The sequence below is a fragment of the Homo sapiens genome, chromosome 21 (genome assembly GCF_000001405.40).
Source record: "Homo sapiens chromosome 21, GRCh38.p14 Primary Assembly".
Classification (NCBI taxonomy): Eukaryota; Metazoa; Chordata; class Mammalia; order Primates; family Hominidae; genus Homo; species Homo sapiens.
Window position 1 is genome coordinate 10,462,557 of NC_000021.9, and position 19,804 is coordinate 10,482,360.

General features: G+C 35.9%; 1 pseudogene across 2 annotated transcripts in view, besides 2 other annotated features; it reads left to right on the top strand.

The window, feature by feature from the left end:
* Positions 1 to 19,804, top strand: part of BAGE2 (BAGE family member 2 (pseudogene)) — a 104,778-nt pseudogene that overhangs the window by 49,060 nt on the left and 35,914 nt on the right. For both annotated transcript variants that reach the window (NR_169269.1, NR_169270.1), the window contains exons 4-6: positions 280 to 451; positions 2,306 to 2,420; positions 10,472 to 11,173. The product of NR_169269.1 is annotated as a BAGE family member 2 (pseudogene), transcript variant 1 (transcript). The remainder of the gene's footprint in view (positions 1 to 279; positions 452 to 2,305; positions 2,421 to 10,471; positions 11,174 to 19,804) is intronic.
* Positions 8,034 to 9,027: an enhancer, noted in NCBI's record as "NANOG hESC enhancer chr21:11040874-11041867 (GRCh37/hg19 assembly coordinates)". NCBI's record gives its function as "activates a minimal SCP1, AML or CMV promoter by ChIP-STARR-seq in naive H9 embryonic stem cells {active_cell/tissue: H9 hESC(naive)}" and the evidence as "EXISTENCE:reporter gene assay evidence [ECO:0000049][PMID:30033119]".
* Positions 10,405 to 10,906: an enhancer, noted in NCBI's record as "NANOG hESC enhancer chr21:11038995-11039496 (GRCh37/hg19 assembly coordinates)". NCBI's record gives its function as "activates a minimal SCP1, AML or CMV promoter by ChIP-STARR-seq in primed H9 embryonic stem cells {active_cell/tissue: H9 hESC(primed)}" and the evidence as "EXISTENCE:reporter gene assay evidence [ECO:0000049][PMID:30033119]".

Sequence of the window (19,804 nt, forward strand, 5' to 3'; positions counted from 1 at the left end):
AGGAATAGAAAATTAAAGAAGACCTGCTTATGGTCTTAAGTAGATATAGCCACAAATAATTGCAAAACTATACGATTAAATTTAATGTGGTTACATTTAGATTAAATACCCTACAGTGTTTTTATTGATACCTCTTTCTGATTAGATGACAATTCAATGTGAATAACTTCAAATGTCTGAAAGGTTCATGATGCAAATCCTTTCAAATGATTTTACTGTGTAGTCAGAAAAAATTTAAATTCTTATACAACAATTTCATTGTTTTACTGTTAATTATAGCGAAGGAAGATGCAAACTGTGCAGTGTGCGACAGCCCGGGAGACCTCTTAGATCAGTTCTTTTGTACTACTTGTGGTCAGCACTATCATGGAATGTGCCTGGATACAGCGGTTACTCCATTAAAACGTGCAGGTTGGCAATGTCCTGAGTGCAAAGTGTGCCAGAACTGCAAGTAAGTTTTCATTTCAATTCAAAGCTGTGTATTGGGTTTAAGAGGGACCCTATTACTAGGCGCTAAAAGTTTGTGTAATATAATAGAGGTTGTTCATATTTTGGCTGTATTCATTCAGAGTGACTTCATCATACTTAAAAAAATTACTGGATATTAACGTTTATATTATTTTGAAAGAAGTCTAAACAAAACTGATTTTAATCATTTAAATTGCTCTGATCTTCTAAAGAGCTAATTTAAATTTACCAACAGTTTAAAAAATAAGCGATATTAACAATTTAAAACAAGCATGAGAAGAATAAAGTAGCTTGTCTTCAGGGGCACCGGGGAGGGGATGTGATAGGATTTAAACCTCTCACTACAGACGTAGAAGAATTAGAGTTGAGTCAAAACGTCAGTCATGTGTTTGAATTTCCATTCCAGGAAGGACACTTTCTACTATTATTTTAATGTACATCTGCATCTCTCTAAAAGCCACCTTGAGTAGATCCTGGTCAGCATAATTCCAAAATGAAATATGTGGCATTTACAAATTTGTAAGGGGGTTATCTTTTCCTATTGTATTTCATCTCTTGGTCATTTCTCCAGTCTTTTCTGTGATTTCCGCTTGCACCCCCATGATTCTAATGAGCATGATAATTTGGGGATGTTACCAGCATCTTCATTTACAGGCTGAGAATTTTTGTTGTAACCAGCAAGAATTATGCCCAACTGCCATGATCAGTCTGTTTTTATTATTTAGTTTTATAAGAAATAAGCGTCAATATCTTAGAGTTACATGACATAAATAGGACTATGTACCTTCATATTTTGGTAAAAATTAGATAAAATATTCAGTAAACATTTATTCGATACCTTGTATCTGCACTCAGTTTCTTGGGAAGGATTAAAAGAGCTTGAAGGAAGAGTACTTGTCCTCCAAGATCTTTGCATGTAGCTGAAGAGATAAAACATGTGACTTTTTATGGAGAGGTTGAACTGAATAATAATTGGAGGCCAACTGACCCATCTTCCTGTTGACTTCTGTTTATCCCCCAGATTTCATTCAGAGATTCCTCTCTCAGCTCTTCTTGCTTTCCCTGTTTTTTTCTCTTCCCCTCCTCTTGAATTTAAAATCATAGTATCTGAAAGTAATTATAGTCAAAAATCTCAACAGAGATAACGCTGTAGGACAGGGGCCCAATCTTTGGGGGCAGAAGAGTGTTTAAAGAAAGGTTTTAGGTTTTCAATTATAATTCTTAATAATTATGACAAGATTCGTCTTTTGAAATAATTATTCAGCATTTAATTGCTTAATAGACATTCTAAGCACTTGAACCTGCATTACATTTAATTCTCACAGTAATGTTTATTATTCCCGTTTTATACCTGAAACTCAGAGAGCTTTAGTCTAAGTTGTTTAGTGACACAGCTAGAAAACAGCAGCCTGAATACAAATAGAGATCTGATGCCAAATTTGATCCTCTTTATGTTATATGACAGTCTTTTCAATTTGCTGTGCCAAGATTTGATCTTTCCACACAGTAGCACATAGCAGTTATAGCGCCTTCCTCTCAAAAATTATATTTTAAAAGTAAAGATCAGAGGCTATTCATCTTGCCTTAACCCTTCCTCCTTTGCAGGAATCCTAAAATGGCTAGAGCAAGTTAACCATAGGTGAGCATTGAGTAAAGATCACCATTTAGGAGGGAATCCTTATGGTAGGGTTACCTCTGTTACTATCTGCAGAGACAAAACAGATACTGAGGTATTTATGAACTGTGCGGTTCCCAGGACTGATGATTTTCATGATTACTTATGTTGCAAAACATAAGTTTAAAGATAAGCCATCATTAATGCTATCTTACTTTTTAGACAATCGGGAGAAGATAGCAAGATGCTAGTGTGTGATACGTGTGACAAAGGGTATCATACTTTTTGTCTTCAACGAATTATGAAATCTGTACCAACCAACGGCTGGAAATGCAAAGTAAGTTGTTTACTTTTTTAAATCCTCTGTATGTTTTATATGGAGAACAGACAAATCGGATATCTATTCAAATCTATACATTACCATCAGCTTTTTAAAAACAGCTTTATTGACATATAACTGACATACAGTAAACTGTACACTCTTCAAGATAATGAACATAGTCATCACCGTCAAAGTTTCCTGGTGCCTCTTGGCTTGCTTTGTGGCTGTTCAAACCCAAACCCTCTGTCTTCCTAGTCTGCTTTTTCACTATAGATTAGTATTCACTTCCTAGAATTTTTAATAAAAGCTTCATATAGTATATACTCGTTTTTGGTCTGGCTTCTTTAACTCAGTGTAATTATTTTGAAATGCATCCCTATTGCTGCACAGATCAGTAGTGATTCTTTTGTATTACTGAGTGCTGGAGATACCACAATTTGTGTATTGAATCACCTGTTGGTGAACATTTGGGTCCTTTAAAATTTTGAGCTATTATAAAAAATGCCGATGAACTCATTAACTAACTTCCTACCTCACTTGGCTTCTGCCCCTTCAGGGGGAGGCGTTCAGAGCCGGGTTGGGGGCAGTGGGGTAGTGGAGATAGCCCTTGGAATCCAAGGTGCGGTTTAGCTTTTAAGCTTAGTCTTCCTGGGCTGCTGGTGTCGCGAGGTTGAGGGATGGAGATGACCCTCAGGTGCTGCATGGGCCTGGAGCGGGTTCTCCCTGGAGCTGGAGAGGGCGTGATGGCCCGTGTGCAGGAGTGGAAGGCACAGCATTGTCATTGCCCTTCTCGGAACTGCTTTTTCTAGGGAGGAGGTGGAGGGCCTGGGAAAGGAGGGTGATGTGGCCAGAACCCCAGGTCCCTGGTGTGGGCAGGAGGTGGGAGCAGATGCAGAGAGATTCTGTACCTGCACCCTGTCCTCGCCAGTGAGGTTTGGCACCTAGAACTGCAAGCAGTATTACCAGGTTCTGTTGTGGTCTTCAGCAAGTTCTACTAGGCATCTGCCTGAGTGGTGGGGGTTGAGGGGAGGGGCTTTCTCTCCTGGGGGGAAAAAGAGCTGCTGGGTAACTGTGCTCAGCTGTGGCTACCTGGGAAGTGGGACCTGAGGGCTGAAGGATTGTGATGAACTCTGGCCTGCTTCCTCAGGTAGTTCAGATTCCTTCTCTTGCTGAATGACATCATTGGAAAGGAAAAACTCTGCTATTTGACTGATTTGTATATTTACACTCTTATCTTCACTCAGTTCCTCTACTTGCCTTTTTACTTTTAATACGAAGTTGAATTTGTAATTCATTGTCTTTCCTAAGGAAAAAGGACATTTAAGACTATAAGTTTACCTTAGGCTATAGCTTTGACTGAAGCCAAGTTTATTGTATTTGTAACTTTATGTATGTATATACCTTAGCGAATAACTTTGTTTTTTTTAAGTTGTGCTGAAGTATGTTAATTTATGCTTACATTTCATTTAATCAGAGAATTTAACTAAGGTAGGTTTCTTAAAATAAATGTTTTGATACTTGAAGTATTGACTTTTTAAAGGTGTAGCATTTGTGTTTATTAATTTCATTTAGTTAGATGAAGTCCTTTTACCTTATTTTTTGACTTGTTGATTCAACAAGTTACAATTGACCACTATTAATTGTTCCTATCAATTTATCATATTTTTAAACAAATAACTTGTGGCTGTTATTTAGCAAGTAGGTCAGGCCAGTGTTAATATATTGTGTTTTTTACCAGTATAAAATTGTTCTTTATTCTATGTAATGTGTTTTTTGTTGAGGGATCAGGAAGGGCAGGTATTTTGCTTTGCCTGACTCTATGGCCACGTAGGGTGTTAGTTTAACGGTTGAATGGTTATCTTTTCACATCTTATTTTGGATTCTTTTGTGTTATAAAAATGTATCTTTTGAAAAGCTTAATAGAGGTAACTGGATTGACGGTTGTAATTGAAATGCTTGGCTGTTTTGAGGCAAAATTTTTCTATTTTTCTCTTCTTTTACTTCCTGCAATGATTTATAATTCAGAATCTCATTTTGTGAATGTAAATGATTATAAATATTAAAGATATAAATTTTCTCCCATTCCCCACTGAAAATAAAGTTTTTATTCCCCTTTTCTCTGTTTGATTCGATTAACCTAGATTGTAAACCCTGTCACAATTTTCTTGCAAAAATATATTTCCTCTGTTAATTCCAACTTTACCCTCAACCTTTCAGAGTCTTGGTTGTGATCCTTTAAAAATAATTATAAAGTTTTTGAAACCCTACATGTTGGAAAGAGACTGTTCCTTTTAGGCTGGCTATAAGAACTTGGCACAGTATAATGTTTCATATTACAAATTTTTCTTTTTTATACTCTGAAAACATTTTCTTCAGTTTTTTCAGTTTATGCTGTCACGAGAAAAATCTTAACTTGAAAAAATTTAATCATAATCCTTTTTTTCTTCCTGAAAGCTTTGGGAGATGTGTGAATCCCCATCCCCGCCTCCACCCCCCGCCCCAGCACCTTTTTAAAAAAATATATTTACTTTAAAAATTACCTTCTTTACACTCTCTAATAATATCTAGTAACTACTGGATAATTTTTGTCTCTTGCTCTTAATCTTCTTTATTATGGTTTTCATTGTCTTGAGAACTGGTAGAGAATTCTGGGTGTCTTTCTCAGCTTGTTCTGTCTCCCCTTTGGTGTGCTTCTTTTCGATTTGCTCTTTGTAATCTGCTATTCTCTTTTGAGAGTGACAGGATTACATAATTTCTGGGAATACTATTGGATACTTAATCTTTTTATTCTGTTCTATGAAGGCACTATAGTGTGGTGGTTAAAAGCTTATGCTGTGGAGTCAAACTGCAGTTTTTTCAGTTACTAAATTGATGATCTTTGGCTACCTGTTTAACTTCCCTAAGTCAGTGTATAGAAGGTTAACGGTACTTACCTCACAGGGATGTTGGATTTAATGAAGTGGTATCTATAAAGTGCCCAGCACAATGCCTAACACAAAGTAAGTACAGAAACAGTTACCATAGAGTTTTTCATGGATTGAAAGGTTTGTCCTTTGAACCATTTGAAGAATGATCATCTTTCTCTGCTGTTGAATTCTTCTGTAGTTCTCTCTGTAGTCTTGAGTCATAATTTGCTCATTTGTTTGCATTTAACATTTGAGTGTTTACTGTGTGCGAACATCACTGTAGTGAAGGCTGGAGATGTTGGGGCAAATCAGTGTGCCCCCGCGGGGCTGTCAGTCTAGTTTGGGGCTGCTCCCTGGTGAGCTGGAGTGGGGTTGATCTTTTCAGGATCTTTATTGTAAACCAGTCATTGTCAGATAGGTTTCTTTTTCCTACTTTTATCTCAAGAATGTCTGTTCTTTGGTATGTTATGCGTTTTTAGAAAGTTTTTACTTGAAAATAAGTTCAAACTCTAAAAGTTGGAAAAAATAAAAATAATACCCATATCCCATTTACTTAGATATATCTGTTGTTAGCATTTCATTATCATTGGGCATGCCCTCTCTCACTTTCTCTGTGTGTGTGTGTGTATGTGTGTGTGTCTGTGTGTGTGTCTCTATTCCCCCAACCCCCTACTATTTGAGGGTTAATTACATACATTGTGCCTTTTTACCACCATTTCAGTATGTATTTCTTAATAGTAGGAATATTCTTAAAAAATCACAATCCTGCTATCAACTTCCTAAACTTACATCAATGCCATATGTTTATCTAATGTACCAGCCATATTACAGTTATGTCATTTGATCTGATGTCCTTCATAACCTACCCCTTCCTCCAAGTAGGTTCTAGGATTTAGTTTTTGTCATTGGTATTTTTGAAGAATAGAGTTCTTCTCGATATACTTGTTTTTTTCTTTTTTCAAACAGAAATTTCCCCATTTTGTTTTTGATAACCCCTTATAATTAGATGAGAGGCATGCATTATTGGCCAGAATACTGCAAAATGCTGATCCATCCTCAGGGTATCACAACTGGAAGCACACATTATTCCACTTTCCCTCATGAGAATCACCTGGTCAGGCTGTTGCCCAATTTCTATTCCCCCCTCCCTTGTATCTAATAAAGCAGTATGTGAGGATACTTTAAGACCATGCAAATATCTTGCTTTTCCTCAGAATTTCCTTCTAGATTTGAAAAACTTACTCCCTAGGCCGGGTGTGGTGGCTCACACCTGTAATCCCAGCACTTTGGGAGGCTGAAGTGGGTGGATCAGTTGAGGTCAGGAGTTCGAGATCAGCCTGGCCAACATGGTGAAACCCTGTCTGTACTAAAAATACAAAAATTAGACAGGCATGGTAGCGGGTGCCATGTAATCCCAGCTACTCAGGATGCTGAGACCGGAGAATCGCTTGAACCCAGGAGGCGAGGTTGCAGTGAGTTGGACTCATGCTACTACACTCCAGCCTGGGTGACAGAGATAGACTCTATCTCAAAAAACAGCAACAACAACAGCAACAACAGCAACAACAACAACAAACTTACTGCCTGATGATGCCATTTTAACATGCTTTCTTTTGGTTGCAAATGATGCATTTCCAGGTCTAGCACTCCCACCACATTTACCAGTTAGCCCTCTGCTTTCTTTTGTAAGCAAGAACACTTCTTTCACATGTTAAGCTTACTTACTATTAATATTGACTCATGAACTCCTATTATCTTCAATCATTTACAACTCATTACCTAATTATTTTTTGGCTCAAATAGTCGCATACTTGCTGTCAGTTGCTCCTTCAAGCTGGCACTGGTGTTCTGCCCTCACCGCTTTTTTGAACATTTCATACTTTTTGGTGTAACAAGATGTTACAAGCTCATCTTATACCTCCCATGCCCGAGTCCTGGAATAAGTCCATTGTTAAATAAGTAACCCAGATTCCTTTAGTGGGGAATGGGTGCTGGGTGTGCTCATTGCTACTGGAGGGTGTTTACTTCTTCACCCTTTCAGCAGGTGGTGTCACGAAATACATGCATGTGTATACACTTACAGAAGTTTGTCCAACCTATGGCCCGCAGGCTACATGTGGTCCAGGATGGCTTTGAATGTGGCCCAACAGAAATTCATAAAATTTCTTAAAACATTATGAGGTGTTTTTTTTTTTTTTGGGGTGTGTGTGTGTGTGTGTGTGTGTGTGTGTGTAGCTCATCAGCTGTCATTAGTGTTAGTGTATCTTGTGTGTGGCCCAAGACGATTCTTCTTTCAATGTGCTCCAGGAAAGCCAAAAGATTGAACACCCCTACACGTTATGTATATACACATAAATATTCATATACATATACATAACTTAGAAATAATGAATTTATACCAGCACCTCCAGTTCTTATCCTTCTCCACTGAGTTCTTTGCCTTTTCATTCTTGCATGTCTGTTCTTCTACAATAAAAATTCTGGGTTGTAGAGCAGCACATTTATTCAGTTGCTCAATCTAAAAAGCAAGTCTGCTTCAGTTTGCTCTCAGTAATAGATTTTATTCCCCTTTTTCTTAGTGATTTAATTTTTTAAATATAGAAGGTATTAGTATACTTTCAAAACTCAAAACTATATGAAATTTTGCTCAGAATTGTCACTGTCTCTTGTTTATTACTTATACCGCATTTCCCCCAGCCTCTTGGAAGTAACTAACTTCATTGTTTTCTGTTTTAAACCTCCTGTTATTTTTCATCTAAGAATAAGAGGATATATTGCTCTTTCAGTGAAGGTAGCATGTTGTATATGTTCTTTTGCATGTTGCTTTTTTCATGTAATAAAATCTGGAAATCACTTCCAGGCAAGTTAGGCAAGTTCAAGAGATCTCATTCTCCTTTTAAACAGCTGCATAGCACTCCATTGTGTATCTGTGCTATCGGTTACTCAACCAGTGGCCTGTGCTTTGGTATTTCAGTAGTTTATGATAATTTGCATTATAAATGATTTTACACTCCCTGGCTTTGTGCATGTGTGTTTTTGAATTCTCAGGGACAAATCTGTAGGGTAAATTCCTAGGATTATTGCCTCAGGAGTGTACACATATGTAGCTTTGTTAGATACTGTGAAATTCCCTTTTTTGGGGCTTATGGTACTTTGCATTGCCACCAGAGATGTGTGAGAGAACTTTTCCTACGTCTTTGCTAACAGGATGACTTGTTTAGCTTTTGAATGTTTGTCTGTCTTCTGGGTGAAAAGTAGTGTATCAATGTAGTTTTAATTTTTGTTTATCCTAAGAGTGAAGTTGATCGTTTTTTCATGTGTTTAAGGGTCAGTTTTTATTTCTTCTCATGAATTGTCTGTTCATGTGTTTTGCCTGTTATTGAAGATTTTGGCATTTTTCCCTAAATTTAAGAGTTCTTTATAAGTTAGGGATGTAAGCCTTTATATGTGTTACATGATGCAGATACTTTCTGCTAGCTTATTTGGTCCTTTTTTTTTTTTTTTTTTTTTTTTTTTTGCTTATTTGTGTGAGACAGTGTCTCACCCTGTCACCCCGGCCATAATACATTGGTATGGTCATAGTTCACTGTAGCCTTGACCTGGGCTCAAGCAATCTTCCTGCCTCAGCCTCCCAAGTTAGCTAGGAGTTATATGTACCACAAAGCCCAGCTAATTTTTTACTTTTGTAGAGACAGGGTCTCACCATGTTATCCAGGCTGTATTATGTGTCTTTTGACTTTGTTTTTATTATTATTTTTTTGCCATGCAAAAGTTTCTTTTTGTGGAGTTAGATTTATTAATCTTCTTTTGCTTCTGGATTTTTGAGTCATATTCAGAAAGCCTTTCCCTACACTGAGGGTATAGAGGACACAGATAGTCTTCTCATTGCTGGTAAGCAGTATGTTCATATTGTCTGATTTGACTGAGTTATAAGATAATGTCTTTATCCCAAAGACATTTTTGCAATTGCTGTATGTATATACATTACAGTAACTAAATCTTTTAGTTAAGAGATTCTGGAAAAGAATTGACAATGGATCTAAAGTAGGTTAGTTTCTCTTGAAAGGCTTTTTTTTTGGAGGGGGGATGTCATGATTAAAAATATTTTGTACTATCAGATCTGTTATTTGGTAGTTTTCTTTTATCCTTACCTGTAGTCTTTCAATAAAGTGGGAAAGAAGATGAGATTTCAGTTTGGTATCAGTTTGGTATCAGAACATGTATAGGCCTGGGCAATATAGTGAGACCCTATCTCTACAAAAACAAAAAAAGTATCTGGGCATGGTGACACATGCCTGCAGTCCCAGCAGCTTGGGAGGCTGAGGTGGGAGGACCACTTGAGCCCAGGAGGTTGAGGCTGCAGTGAGCCATGTTTCTGCTACTGCACTCCAGCTTGGGTCACAGAGTGAGATCCTGTTTCAAAAAAAAAAAAAGAACATAGATAAATAGATAAATTTTAGTCACTGATTGGTAAATGAGGCTAGCAGTGTCTTTTTACTATAACTTAAAAATTACCTTGATGAGATTGAGTTAAAGGTTTAACATACTGGTATCCTGATTTAAAATTTACCGGTGACTATGTTTCTGATATCTAAGTTTATAGATTTCCTGAGATTAGTCTTTTAATTTACAGACAATGATGAAGAACAACGATTATATCCAAAGAATATTTTGGCTAGGTTGGCAGGTATGGTTAAGCAAAATAAATATTGGTGGTTAGCAAATCTTTTCTGTCTGTGCTTTTGAGTCTATAGTAACTTTGTCGCATCTGGGTATCTACTATTAGAAAATGCCTACACATTCTAGATCAGTCTTTACTTTTTAACTTAGGTACCTCACATAACATGATTGATCCTCATTTTCTTAACTAAAAAATGAGTATGAGAACTTTTCCTGTGTAATTTTCAATCCATTTGGAAGTACTTGTGTTGTAAAACATGTTTTCATTAGGTTTTCTGGTGTATGGCTGATTCTAATCCATAAATCCTTGTGTACTTTGGCTTTCATTCACTTAATAATTGTCTGCTTTGATGAATACCTTCTGATTTAAGTTCTAGTGTAGCCAAATGTTTTATATATCTATAGTTAGAAAATTTAAAATTTGTTTGTACATTACCATAACAAATGTTCTGAATTTTGTAATATCATCCCAACATACAGTGAATACCGAATTGGAAAAACAGATTTCTAATGAGGCTGATAGTGAAGAAATGAAAATGTCTTCTGAAGTGAAGCATATTTGTGGCGAAGATCAAATTGAAGATAAAATGGAAGTGACAGAAAACATTGAAGTCGTTACACACCAGATCACTGTGCAGCAAGAGCAACTGCAGTTGTTAGAGGAACCTAAAACAGTGGTATCCAAAGAAGAATCAAGGCCTCCAAAATTTGTCATTGAATCTGTCACTCTTCCACTAGAAACCTTAGTGTCCCCACATGAGGAAAGCACTTCATTATGTCCTGAGGAACAGTTGGTTATAGAAAGGCTACAAGGAGAAAAGGAACAGAAAGAAGATTCTGAACTTTCTACTGGATTGATGGACTCTGAAATGACTCCTACAATTGAGGGTTGTGTGAAAGATGTTTCATACCAAGGAGGCAAATCTATAAAGTTATCATCTGAGACAGAGTCATCATTTTCATTATCAGCAGACATAAGCAAGGCAGATGTGTCTTCCTCCCCAACACCTTCTTCAGACTTGCCTTCGCATGACATGCTGCGTAATTACCCTTCAGCTCTTAGTTCCTCTGCTGGAAACATCATGCCAACAACTTACATCTCAGTCACTCCAAAAAACTGGCATGGGTAAACCAGCTATTACTAAGAGAAAATTTTCTCCTGGTAGACCTCGGTCCAAACAGGTAGGGTGATTTTAATGATATTGACAGAAAAGATATTGGAACAATTCTATAAAATCAGAAGGTATATGTGTAGCTTTGGTGTGGATGGCAACTTTTTCTGTCTTCAGATAGAACTTCAGTGTAATGTTGATTATGTGTTTCAGCCATTATTTTTTAAATGCTGTTAATGAAGAATGCCATTTATTAAATTTGAAGGGATCTTATTTGGAATTTCAACTCAGCTGGGCCATAAAGATGCAAACTATGGATAATAGTTTCTAATAGAAAGAACTTTAAAAATTCTTTTAGTTCTGTGCTGCAGTAAATATAGAGCCTAAAATACAGTATAGTTTTGGGTATACAGTAACTAACATCTATTATTTCCTTCTAATATATTTATTGATATTATTTATTGTATATATTTTTAACTGGATAAACATCAACATTTATGACAGGAATTTTCCATGCTGGGGAATTTCTCATTTTGGTGTTTTTATTAATTGCTAACTCTTGTGGGATTTCTTTTTTCAAGTAGGACTTATTTCAGTAGTTTCATGGAAAAAATCTTAGAATTGTACTATTGATTTTCAGTAAGTAAAGATAAATCTTCCTGTGTCTGCTTTACATCATGTGCATTCTACCCTTTAAGAATGAGTTCCATTTCTAAGTGAGATTTAAGTAAAACTGCATGGCAAAATGAGGATACTATAGGTATGAATTATTTATTGTTTTACAAATTTGCTACTTTCTGAAGTGTTTTTTTTAAAATTGCAAGATAAATAGTGGAGAAGTGTTAATTCACAATAGTAATTTGGAGTTTTAAGTTTCATGATTGAAATTGCTTCAAGTGAAGTTTTAAGTTTCATGATTTAAATGGATTAAAGTTTGGCTTTTTATAGGAATAATATCTTGATTTTAATCGTATAATTTTTAAACTGTAAGGCCAGGCTTTTAAGAAAATCATTTTTAATGTGAAAATTAGTCTCCTCTATATCAAAACCAGATATATTTTATTCTCTAAAGACAAGGTACACGAAAGGGAAAGTAGTTGTCAGATGGGATTTAGCTGTTTCTGCATGGCAAAGACGTGTGCAGTAAAACTAGGCCACTCTTTATATATGCCTTTTTCTAAGTATTTTCCTTGACAGTTATTTCTGCTCTACCATGAAAAGATTTTCTTCTCAAACCAGTTGTTCTTTTTTCCAGTAAGTATTTTTTGTTTTGTTTTGAATAGTTATATAATAATTATGTCATTCTGACTCTGAAAAGACTTTAGCAATGGAAATTTGAATCTCAAGTTTACTTTTGGTTGATATATTTACATTCTTTAAAGATACTGCTTCATATGTATTCCTGTTAAATTTTACGTATCTCTCCTTCCTTGGAGACTTTTGTTTCAGTTGAGAAACCAGGTTCAATACATTAGGACTCTCTTTCTGTAGACTTTATGTTCTGAAATATTGGGGAGGGGGGTGTATTTCCAGGCTTATTCCATCTTATATGAGCCATGTCCTAGTATTTTGCTGAGCTGCCTTTGAATTCCCAAATCCGATGATAATCTTTCTATTTTTCTGCCCCTCTTGTTACTACTTCATCATTTTCTGCTAATCTTGTAAGCATTTTGTAGGCTGTGTTTTCCCTCCCTCCAGCTTTTTAGTTTTCCAATCTTGGTTTTAGTTATCTAGCAAACAGCCTTCACTTGATGATGAACCTGCTAATATAGTGCTGTTATTAGGGAGAGTATGAATTGAATAGTACAAGATAGATCTTCCATTGGTGAGGCACAGGGACCATAACTTGCAGGAAATATTCTACAGTTAGCAGGAATGTGTATATACGTATATTAGAAATACTGAAGTTCAGTATTCTGTTACATGAATTTCTTTGATATTAGGCATTTCTGTATTATACTGCTTTTTTTATTTACTGTTGCTTCTACATATTCTTCACATCGGGGACTGGCGGTAAAATAAGCTGCATTTTCCTAGCTGTGATTGTGATGTAAGCAAGATTCTTTGGTTTCCAGCTATTTTTTTGTTAAAGTCACTGGCATTTTCATATTTTGTTGAACATTACCAATTCTTTGGTCTTTACCAGTACAGTAAATACTAACCAAAGAAATGTAGATTTACTTTAAGTTCTGTTTCATGGTGGGCAAATTATTAAGTTGATTTTAATGATTTTCTATAATAGTATTATATGAGCTTTTCTAGGAATTCACTTCAAATTTAAACGAACATTTTAATAGGAAACATCTGAAAGATCTAGTTTGTGATAGCTAGTGATTGGATTATCAGATGTTATCTGGAGGTACAAGCTAGCCAACCAGTAGAACGGTGAGCCAGTGCTGTCTAATAGAAATATGATGCAGACCATATGTGTAATTTTAAATTTTCTAGTAGTTACACTTAAAAAAAGGTGAAATAAATTTTAATGTATTTTATTTAACCTGGTATATTCAAAACAATATTTCAGCATTTAGTATAAAAATGAACAAGATGCTTTATACTTAAAACATCAGTTCTGGCTAGCTGCATTAGAAGTGCTCGGTGGTCACATATGATGGTGGCTGCCTTATTGCACGATGCAAGACAAAACATTTTGAGAAATACAAAAACAGCAGTTCCAGAATTATTGGTGAAATTAAAATACCAAAAGAATTCAAGATCGACAAACTAAGACTGTGGGTGTGCTTTCACAATTTTTAAGGACTGAAGTAGAAATATTCTTTTTCTGTTGTTCATGGAACACATTTTAATGCAGATAATTGTAAACCATTTGTTGTGGCAACAAATCATTCACATCTTCAAGTATATTCAGTTTTAAATATATAATCCAAATAACCCAATATTGGAGATTTTCTGAAGGTGAGATGTTAGGACACAGAAAATGGAATTTATATCTCAGGTATTGGACATCCATTATGAAATATCAAATCATATAGAATTATGTTCCTTTAAGGAGGTTAGTAATTAAAAGTTTAGTTTTTCGTATTTTTCCTTTCATATGGAATATTTCAGGTGTTATTTAGTTAGAAATATGATGCTTATTTTCTTTATGACATGTTTGAGATATATCTCAAATGTATGATTTAGAACCTGACTACAGGAATAGTAACACATTTTTCTGATGGCTGTGAATAGAATAAGATTCCTTTTGTTTTTTGTTTTTTTTGCCTATTACAATAGATGCAGGATTTCACAAAGATGAGGAAAAATTAGACATGATAAGGTAGAAGTAACAGACAGCAAATTGGATATTGTTTCATACAAATTGTCCTAATGACCTAGTTGTATTTTCTCATCTTTTATTGAAGTTATATATTCATAAATAATTTAGTATTTCATTTTTCAGCATTTAAAAATATTTTTTATTTTTTTATAGAGATGGGGGTCTTGCTGTGTAGACCAGGCTGGTTACAAAGTCCTGGCCTCAGGAGATCCTCCCATCTCGGGTCTCCCAGAGTGCTGGGATTACAGGTGTGAGCCCCACAGCGCCTGGCCCATTTTCAACATTTCTATAGGTATATGTGCTTTGCAACTTGGGTTTAAGAAAGTGGTTATTGACACTGACACATATTGTAATCAACTCAGTAGATTTTAGAACATCAAGCTAATGACCCTACCCTAGACCAATTAAAATGCACTTCTAGGATCATCTTTAACTGTAACCCTGAAAGTGGAGTCCTGAACTAGAGAAATGTGCTACTTGTCTTACTGATTTTTAAAAATGCATTAAAATTAATACTATAAGGAATGCTCTTTAAAAATGGTGGAAAATAAAGTGGAAATTTTAAATTTGTCATATTAAATCATAACATTTGTTTTTATTTCTGTCTTCAGTCCATTTCTCTCATTGCACAATTGTATTCCCATTCTAATTAGGAAATTCTGAGATAATAATCTTAGGTCTTCTTGTATGATTTACCCTGTATGTATCATCACGTCTTATAGAAAGATATTGAATGTAATCACACTACTATGATCTACTTCAGACACCCTCATGTTCTAATTGCTTTCATGGTGGTATTGAAAGTTTTTATTAAGCATTTTATGAAACGTATTATTTGCAGTAGATATTTCTTTATTTTATTTTTATTTATTTCTTTGAGATTGAGTCTTGCTCTGTCACCCAGGCTGGAGTTGTGGCACGACCTCGCTCACTGCAGCCTCTGCCTGCCTGGCTCAAGCAGTTCTCCTGTCTCAGCTTCCTGAGTAGCGGGGACTACAGGCACACGTCAACACACCTGGCTAATTTTTTTTATATTTTTAGTAGAGATGGTGTTTCGCCATATTGGTTAGGCTGGTCTTGAAATCCTGACCTCAGGTGATCCACCCGCCTTGTCCTCCCTAAGTGCTGGGATTACAGGGGTGAGCCACCACGCCCAGCCTGCAGTAAATATTTCAAGAAAATTTCATAAATGGAAACATAGGTACTGTATTTTGATATCTCTTGGACAAATTATTAGAAGTTTACTTTATATTATAAGAAGAGTACTTTCAGTTTTAAAAGTAGCCAGAGAACCATAGTGTTAAACCTAAAAAATACCTACCCCTTTGGAACACCAAGCTAACAACACAGCAGATTAGAAGTACCAGACTTTGCTTTTAGTTCACTTGTGCTTGTTGTGGTATTTTTGGAGACATTACTGTTGCTAGCACTACCTAATTTGTATTGTGAAATTATTGAAGGCTAAAGCTGATAATAACTGTTCCTGTAGTTATCAAAACAGGATTGGGTCTAATTTCTTGTTCTACTTGATATTGAACTCAATTTTATATATGAGACTTCTTTTAATAATTCCCTAAAGAGTGAAGTGTTGGCTGCTGTAACTCCAGTGTATACAAGTGATTGTATTTACCAAAAAGACAAACTGTAAACTCTTTTGTTTCTTTTACCAGTTATCTTCCTTTCTGCCCTCTGTCTTCATTGCTTTCACTTTTCGCAAATTAGACTTACTGTTTATAAGCAACCTTGGTTTTACATAGTATGTTGGAAGAGTGTGGGGCCGGGGTTGATTTAAGATTTGGAGGCGTAAAGTTTGCCTTTGAGACACCAAACCTTCTATGGCTGCTTTTAAAACTGATAGTACTCTTGGGCTGTAAGAATGACTTTGATCGTATTTAACAATCAGCAATAGAATTTGACTTTTAATAGAAAGTTGCTTCTAAATAGCCTATCCTCCACTTGTCATTATTGTTCTCATTTCCCCATCCCACAGTCCTTGTATAATTTACTAGCTTGGACAGTTTACCTGAGAAATTGGCCTCAAAGCAGAAAGAAACTTAATGCTAATATTAAACTATTTTTGGGTTAAATTATTTTTCTTAGGTTCAAATTCAGTCCCTGCCAGGTAGTGTTTTTTTAGTTTCTGTAGTATTTGATAGCAAGTTGATTCTATTTACAACTTAATAATGATTACATTAGGAACTATTTTGCTTTTAATTCAGTTTGTAGATTAAGGAGGCATTATATAGATTTTTTAGTAATTTTTAGTAACTTTTTTTTAAGTGAAGAAATTCAAGATTCTAGGTTATTACTGGTGGAGGCATTAGTGTGTTTCATATCATAGCTCATTGTTTATTGATGAATTCATACACACATGCAAAAAAAGATAATAGATGCTCAGCAGAAAAAAAGTTCAGTAAGTGCTGAACAGGGTGCTTAACGTAGCAGTGGACAGAAAGGGGCATATCTTTAATTACAGTGTAAAAAGTGCTGCAACTGGATTGTAGGAGAAGAGCCCATACATTACAGGGGCAGGTAACCTTTTCTGAATGGTTTGTGTAAATTCTTGATCAAAGCTAAGATCTGAAGGATAATTTAAACTTTGATAATTATAGCTATATTTTAGTTTTAAGGTCTAAGGAATATACTAGATAATTTGTCAGAATATCTAAGTATAATGATAATTTTTCTTCAGAACTATAAAATTACACAAAGTCTGTCTTTTCAAAGTGAGATAAAATTTTGGCATCAAAGCTAACTTTTAAATTATGATGAATAATACATAATTACCAGAAAATTCTTATTTCTGAAATAAAATTATTCAACATTATTTTTATCTTAGAGTATGACTTTCTGTCTCATATTTTTTAGAACTGTCTACTGCCAACATAATATTAAACTATTGACTAAAAAGAATTTAAGATGTATGTTAGCCAAATCTCAGAGAAAAACCAATGGAAATATTGAGAGAAGTAATTTAGGTATCTCTTGCCCCACTGCCTACCACTAAATAAAATTACAAACAATAAAACGTCCTAGGTGGTGATGCAATGAGAGGCACTAATGGTGTGGTAAGAGAGATGATGGTTCACTGGGAGCACTAAGGAAAGGTCTCCTGATGAGAAAATATGTAAGGCCATACCTGAAGGGTTAGAAAACGCCAGACATGGCTGGCCGTGGTGGATCACATCTGTAATCCCAGCACTTTGGGATGCCAAGCCTGGTGGATCACAAGGTCAGGTGTTTGAGACCAGCCTGACCAACATGTTATTGCTCCTAAAATACAAAAATTAGCCGGGCCTGGTGGTGCATGCCTGTAATCCCAGCTACTCAGGAGGCTTGAGGAAGGAGAATTGCTTGAACCTGGGAGGTAGAGGTTGCAGTGAGCCGAGATCACACCACCACACTCTAGCCTGGGTGACAGAGTGAGACTCCATCTCAAAAAATAAAGAAAGAAAGAAAATGCCAGACATTTATTGAAGGGCCAGAATGGTATAGTGAAGTGTTCTGAGTCAGCTGGGCTCTGATTGATACAGAGCTTGGCATGTTTGAAGGACAGCAAGGAAGCCAGAATAGCTGGAGCATAGCAGCAGGGAGACAAGTGCCACAAGATAAGTTGGAGAAAAGCACTGGGAAAGGTTTGTATTTTAAGTGCTCTGAGAAGCAATTGAAGGTTTGAAATAGAATAGTGACTTGCTTGATCACATTTGTACTTTTGAAAAGTTCCTCTGGCTGCTGTGGGGAAAGGTTTGAGTAGATGCAGGGTGGGAGAAGCATAACCAGCAGTAGACTCTTGTAGCAGGTTAGGTGAGAGATGGTGGTGGCCACGAGTGTGCTACTAGTGGTGGAAGTGACAAGAAGTAGAAGGATTGGAGACAAAACTTGAAGATAAAAAGTCTTGAATTTGCTGATGATTTGCATTGATGAAGTGTTGGGGGAGAGGCCTGAAGGAGCAGAGGAGAGTGACAAGGGACTGGATGCCATTTATAAGGATGGGGAAGACTGGGATGAAACCGGTTAAGGGAGAAATTTTAAACATGGCAAACTTAAGAAGGGTTTTGTGTGAGAAAATGGAAATGCTAAGAAGGAAGTTGAAAATCCTGCTAATTTGGAGATCTTTGATTAAAGCCAGAAATAAGAATGTGGGAAGCATCAACTTCCAAGATGCCCTCATTGTAGATAACACCATTTAGGATCTAGGCTCAAGCCCTGGGAAACTCCAGGGCTTTGGAAGCCAAATAGAGGAAGAACACGTACAGGAGATGAAGAAAGATTAGCGAGGAAGGCAGTGAAATATCCACAGGTGGACTGCTGCCAAATCCAGCAGAACCGTATGCCAGATGTCAGGAGCATGAGTAAAATGAGAAAAGAGAAATGGCTTTTGACAACACCTCCCTACTAATAGTAGGGAAGAAGACATAGGTACAGATTCAAGTTGATTGGAAATTATGAAAGTGAGGTAACTGACCTGCAGTGGTTGCTGCTCAGTGAAATCAGCATAGTGATTACCTGAGCTAGGTTAGAGATTTGATGGGTAAGAAAGAACACCTGAGGGTAATCCTGGAAGGGAAAAAATTAAGTGTTTGCTGGAGAGAATGAATTGGATTGCTGGACTTCAATGTGTGTGGGTTGAGTTAGTGACTTAAAAATGAAACCAGGCTATTGCTTGTGTGGCTTTTCTCAAAATACTGTTATTCCATTACCTATCTCTTACCCCAAGAGTAGTCACATTCTTATTTCTGGTTATTTTAATTCCTGGTGGTATTTTTATGTGATTAATGAGATAGTACTTGTTAATTTGATGATATTCTAGAAACCTGGTAAGTACTATGTACCTTAAGTTTTGGTTACTTGATTGGTAAAATTATGCATGCACCATTGAATTACCTAATTCAAAATATATTCTTTTATTGTTTGACATTTGTCTTGTTTTTCTTTAAAATGTTATCTTTGTGGAGTAAACATTTTTCTTTATGCTGTTTAACATCTTCAGATTAGTTCAGGGTATTGCTGAATGTGGTTGTTCAGAAGTAAAATGCTTTAGTTTCAGTTATATAGATTTTAATAAGATACTACTTTCTATATAATTTATCAGGCACTTTAGGCATTTTAATTTGCAAATTTAGGACAATTTGCTTTAACGTTTCTTCACTTTTGTCCATTGGATGTAATTTCCATAGAGTATTCATTTCCCTAAATAAAAACCAAAACCAAACCGACAACTAATGGTCACTGAAGAAAGAGTGATTAAATGCTAAGATTATAATGGTATTTGCATTTTAATGTTACCAGCTCTCTACAGTTTAAAGTTTATGCATTTATCGATTGCTTATGTTTCTCATTGCATTCTTTGGCCTACTGGTTTTGGTTGTTTATAGCTATAGAATATAGAATTCCTTATGGTTATCCATTTCTCCTTTTAAG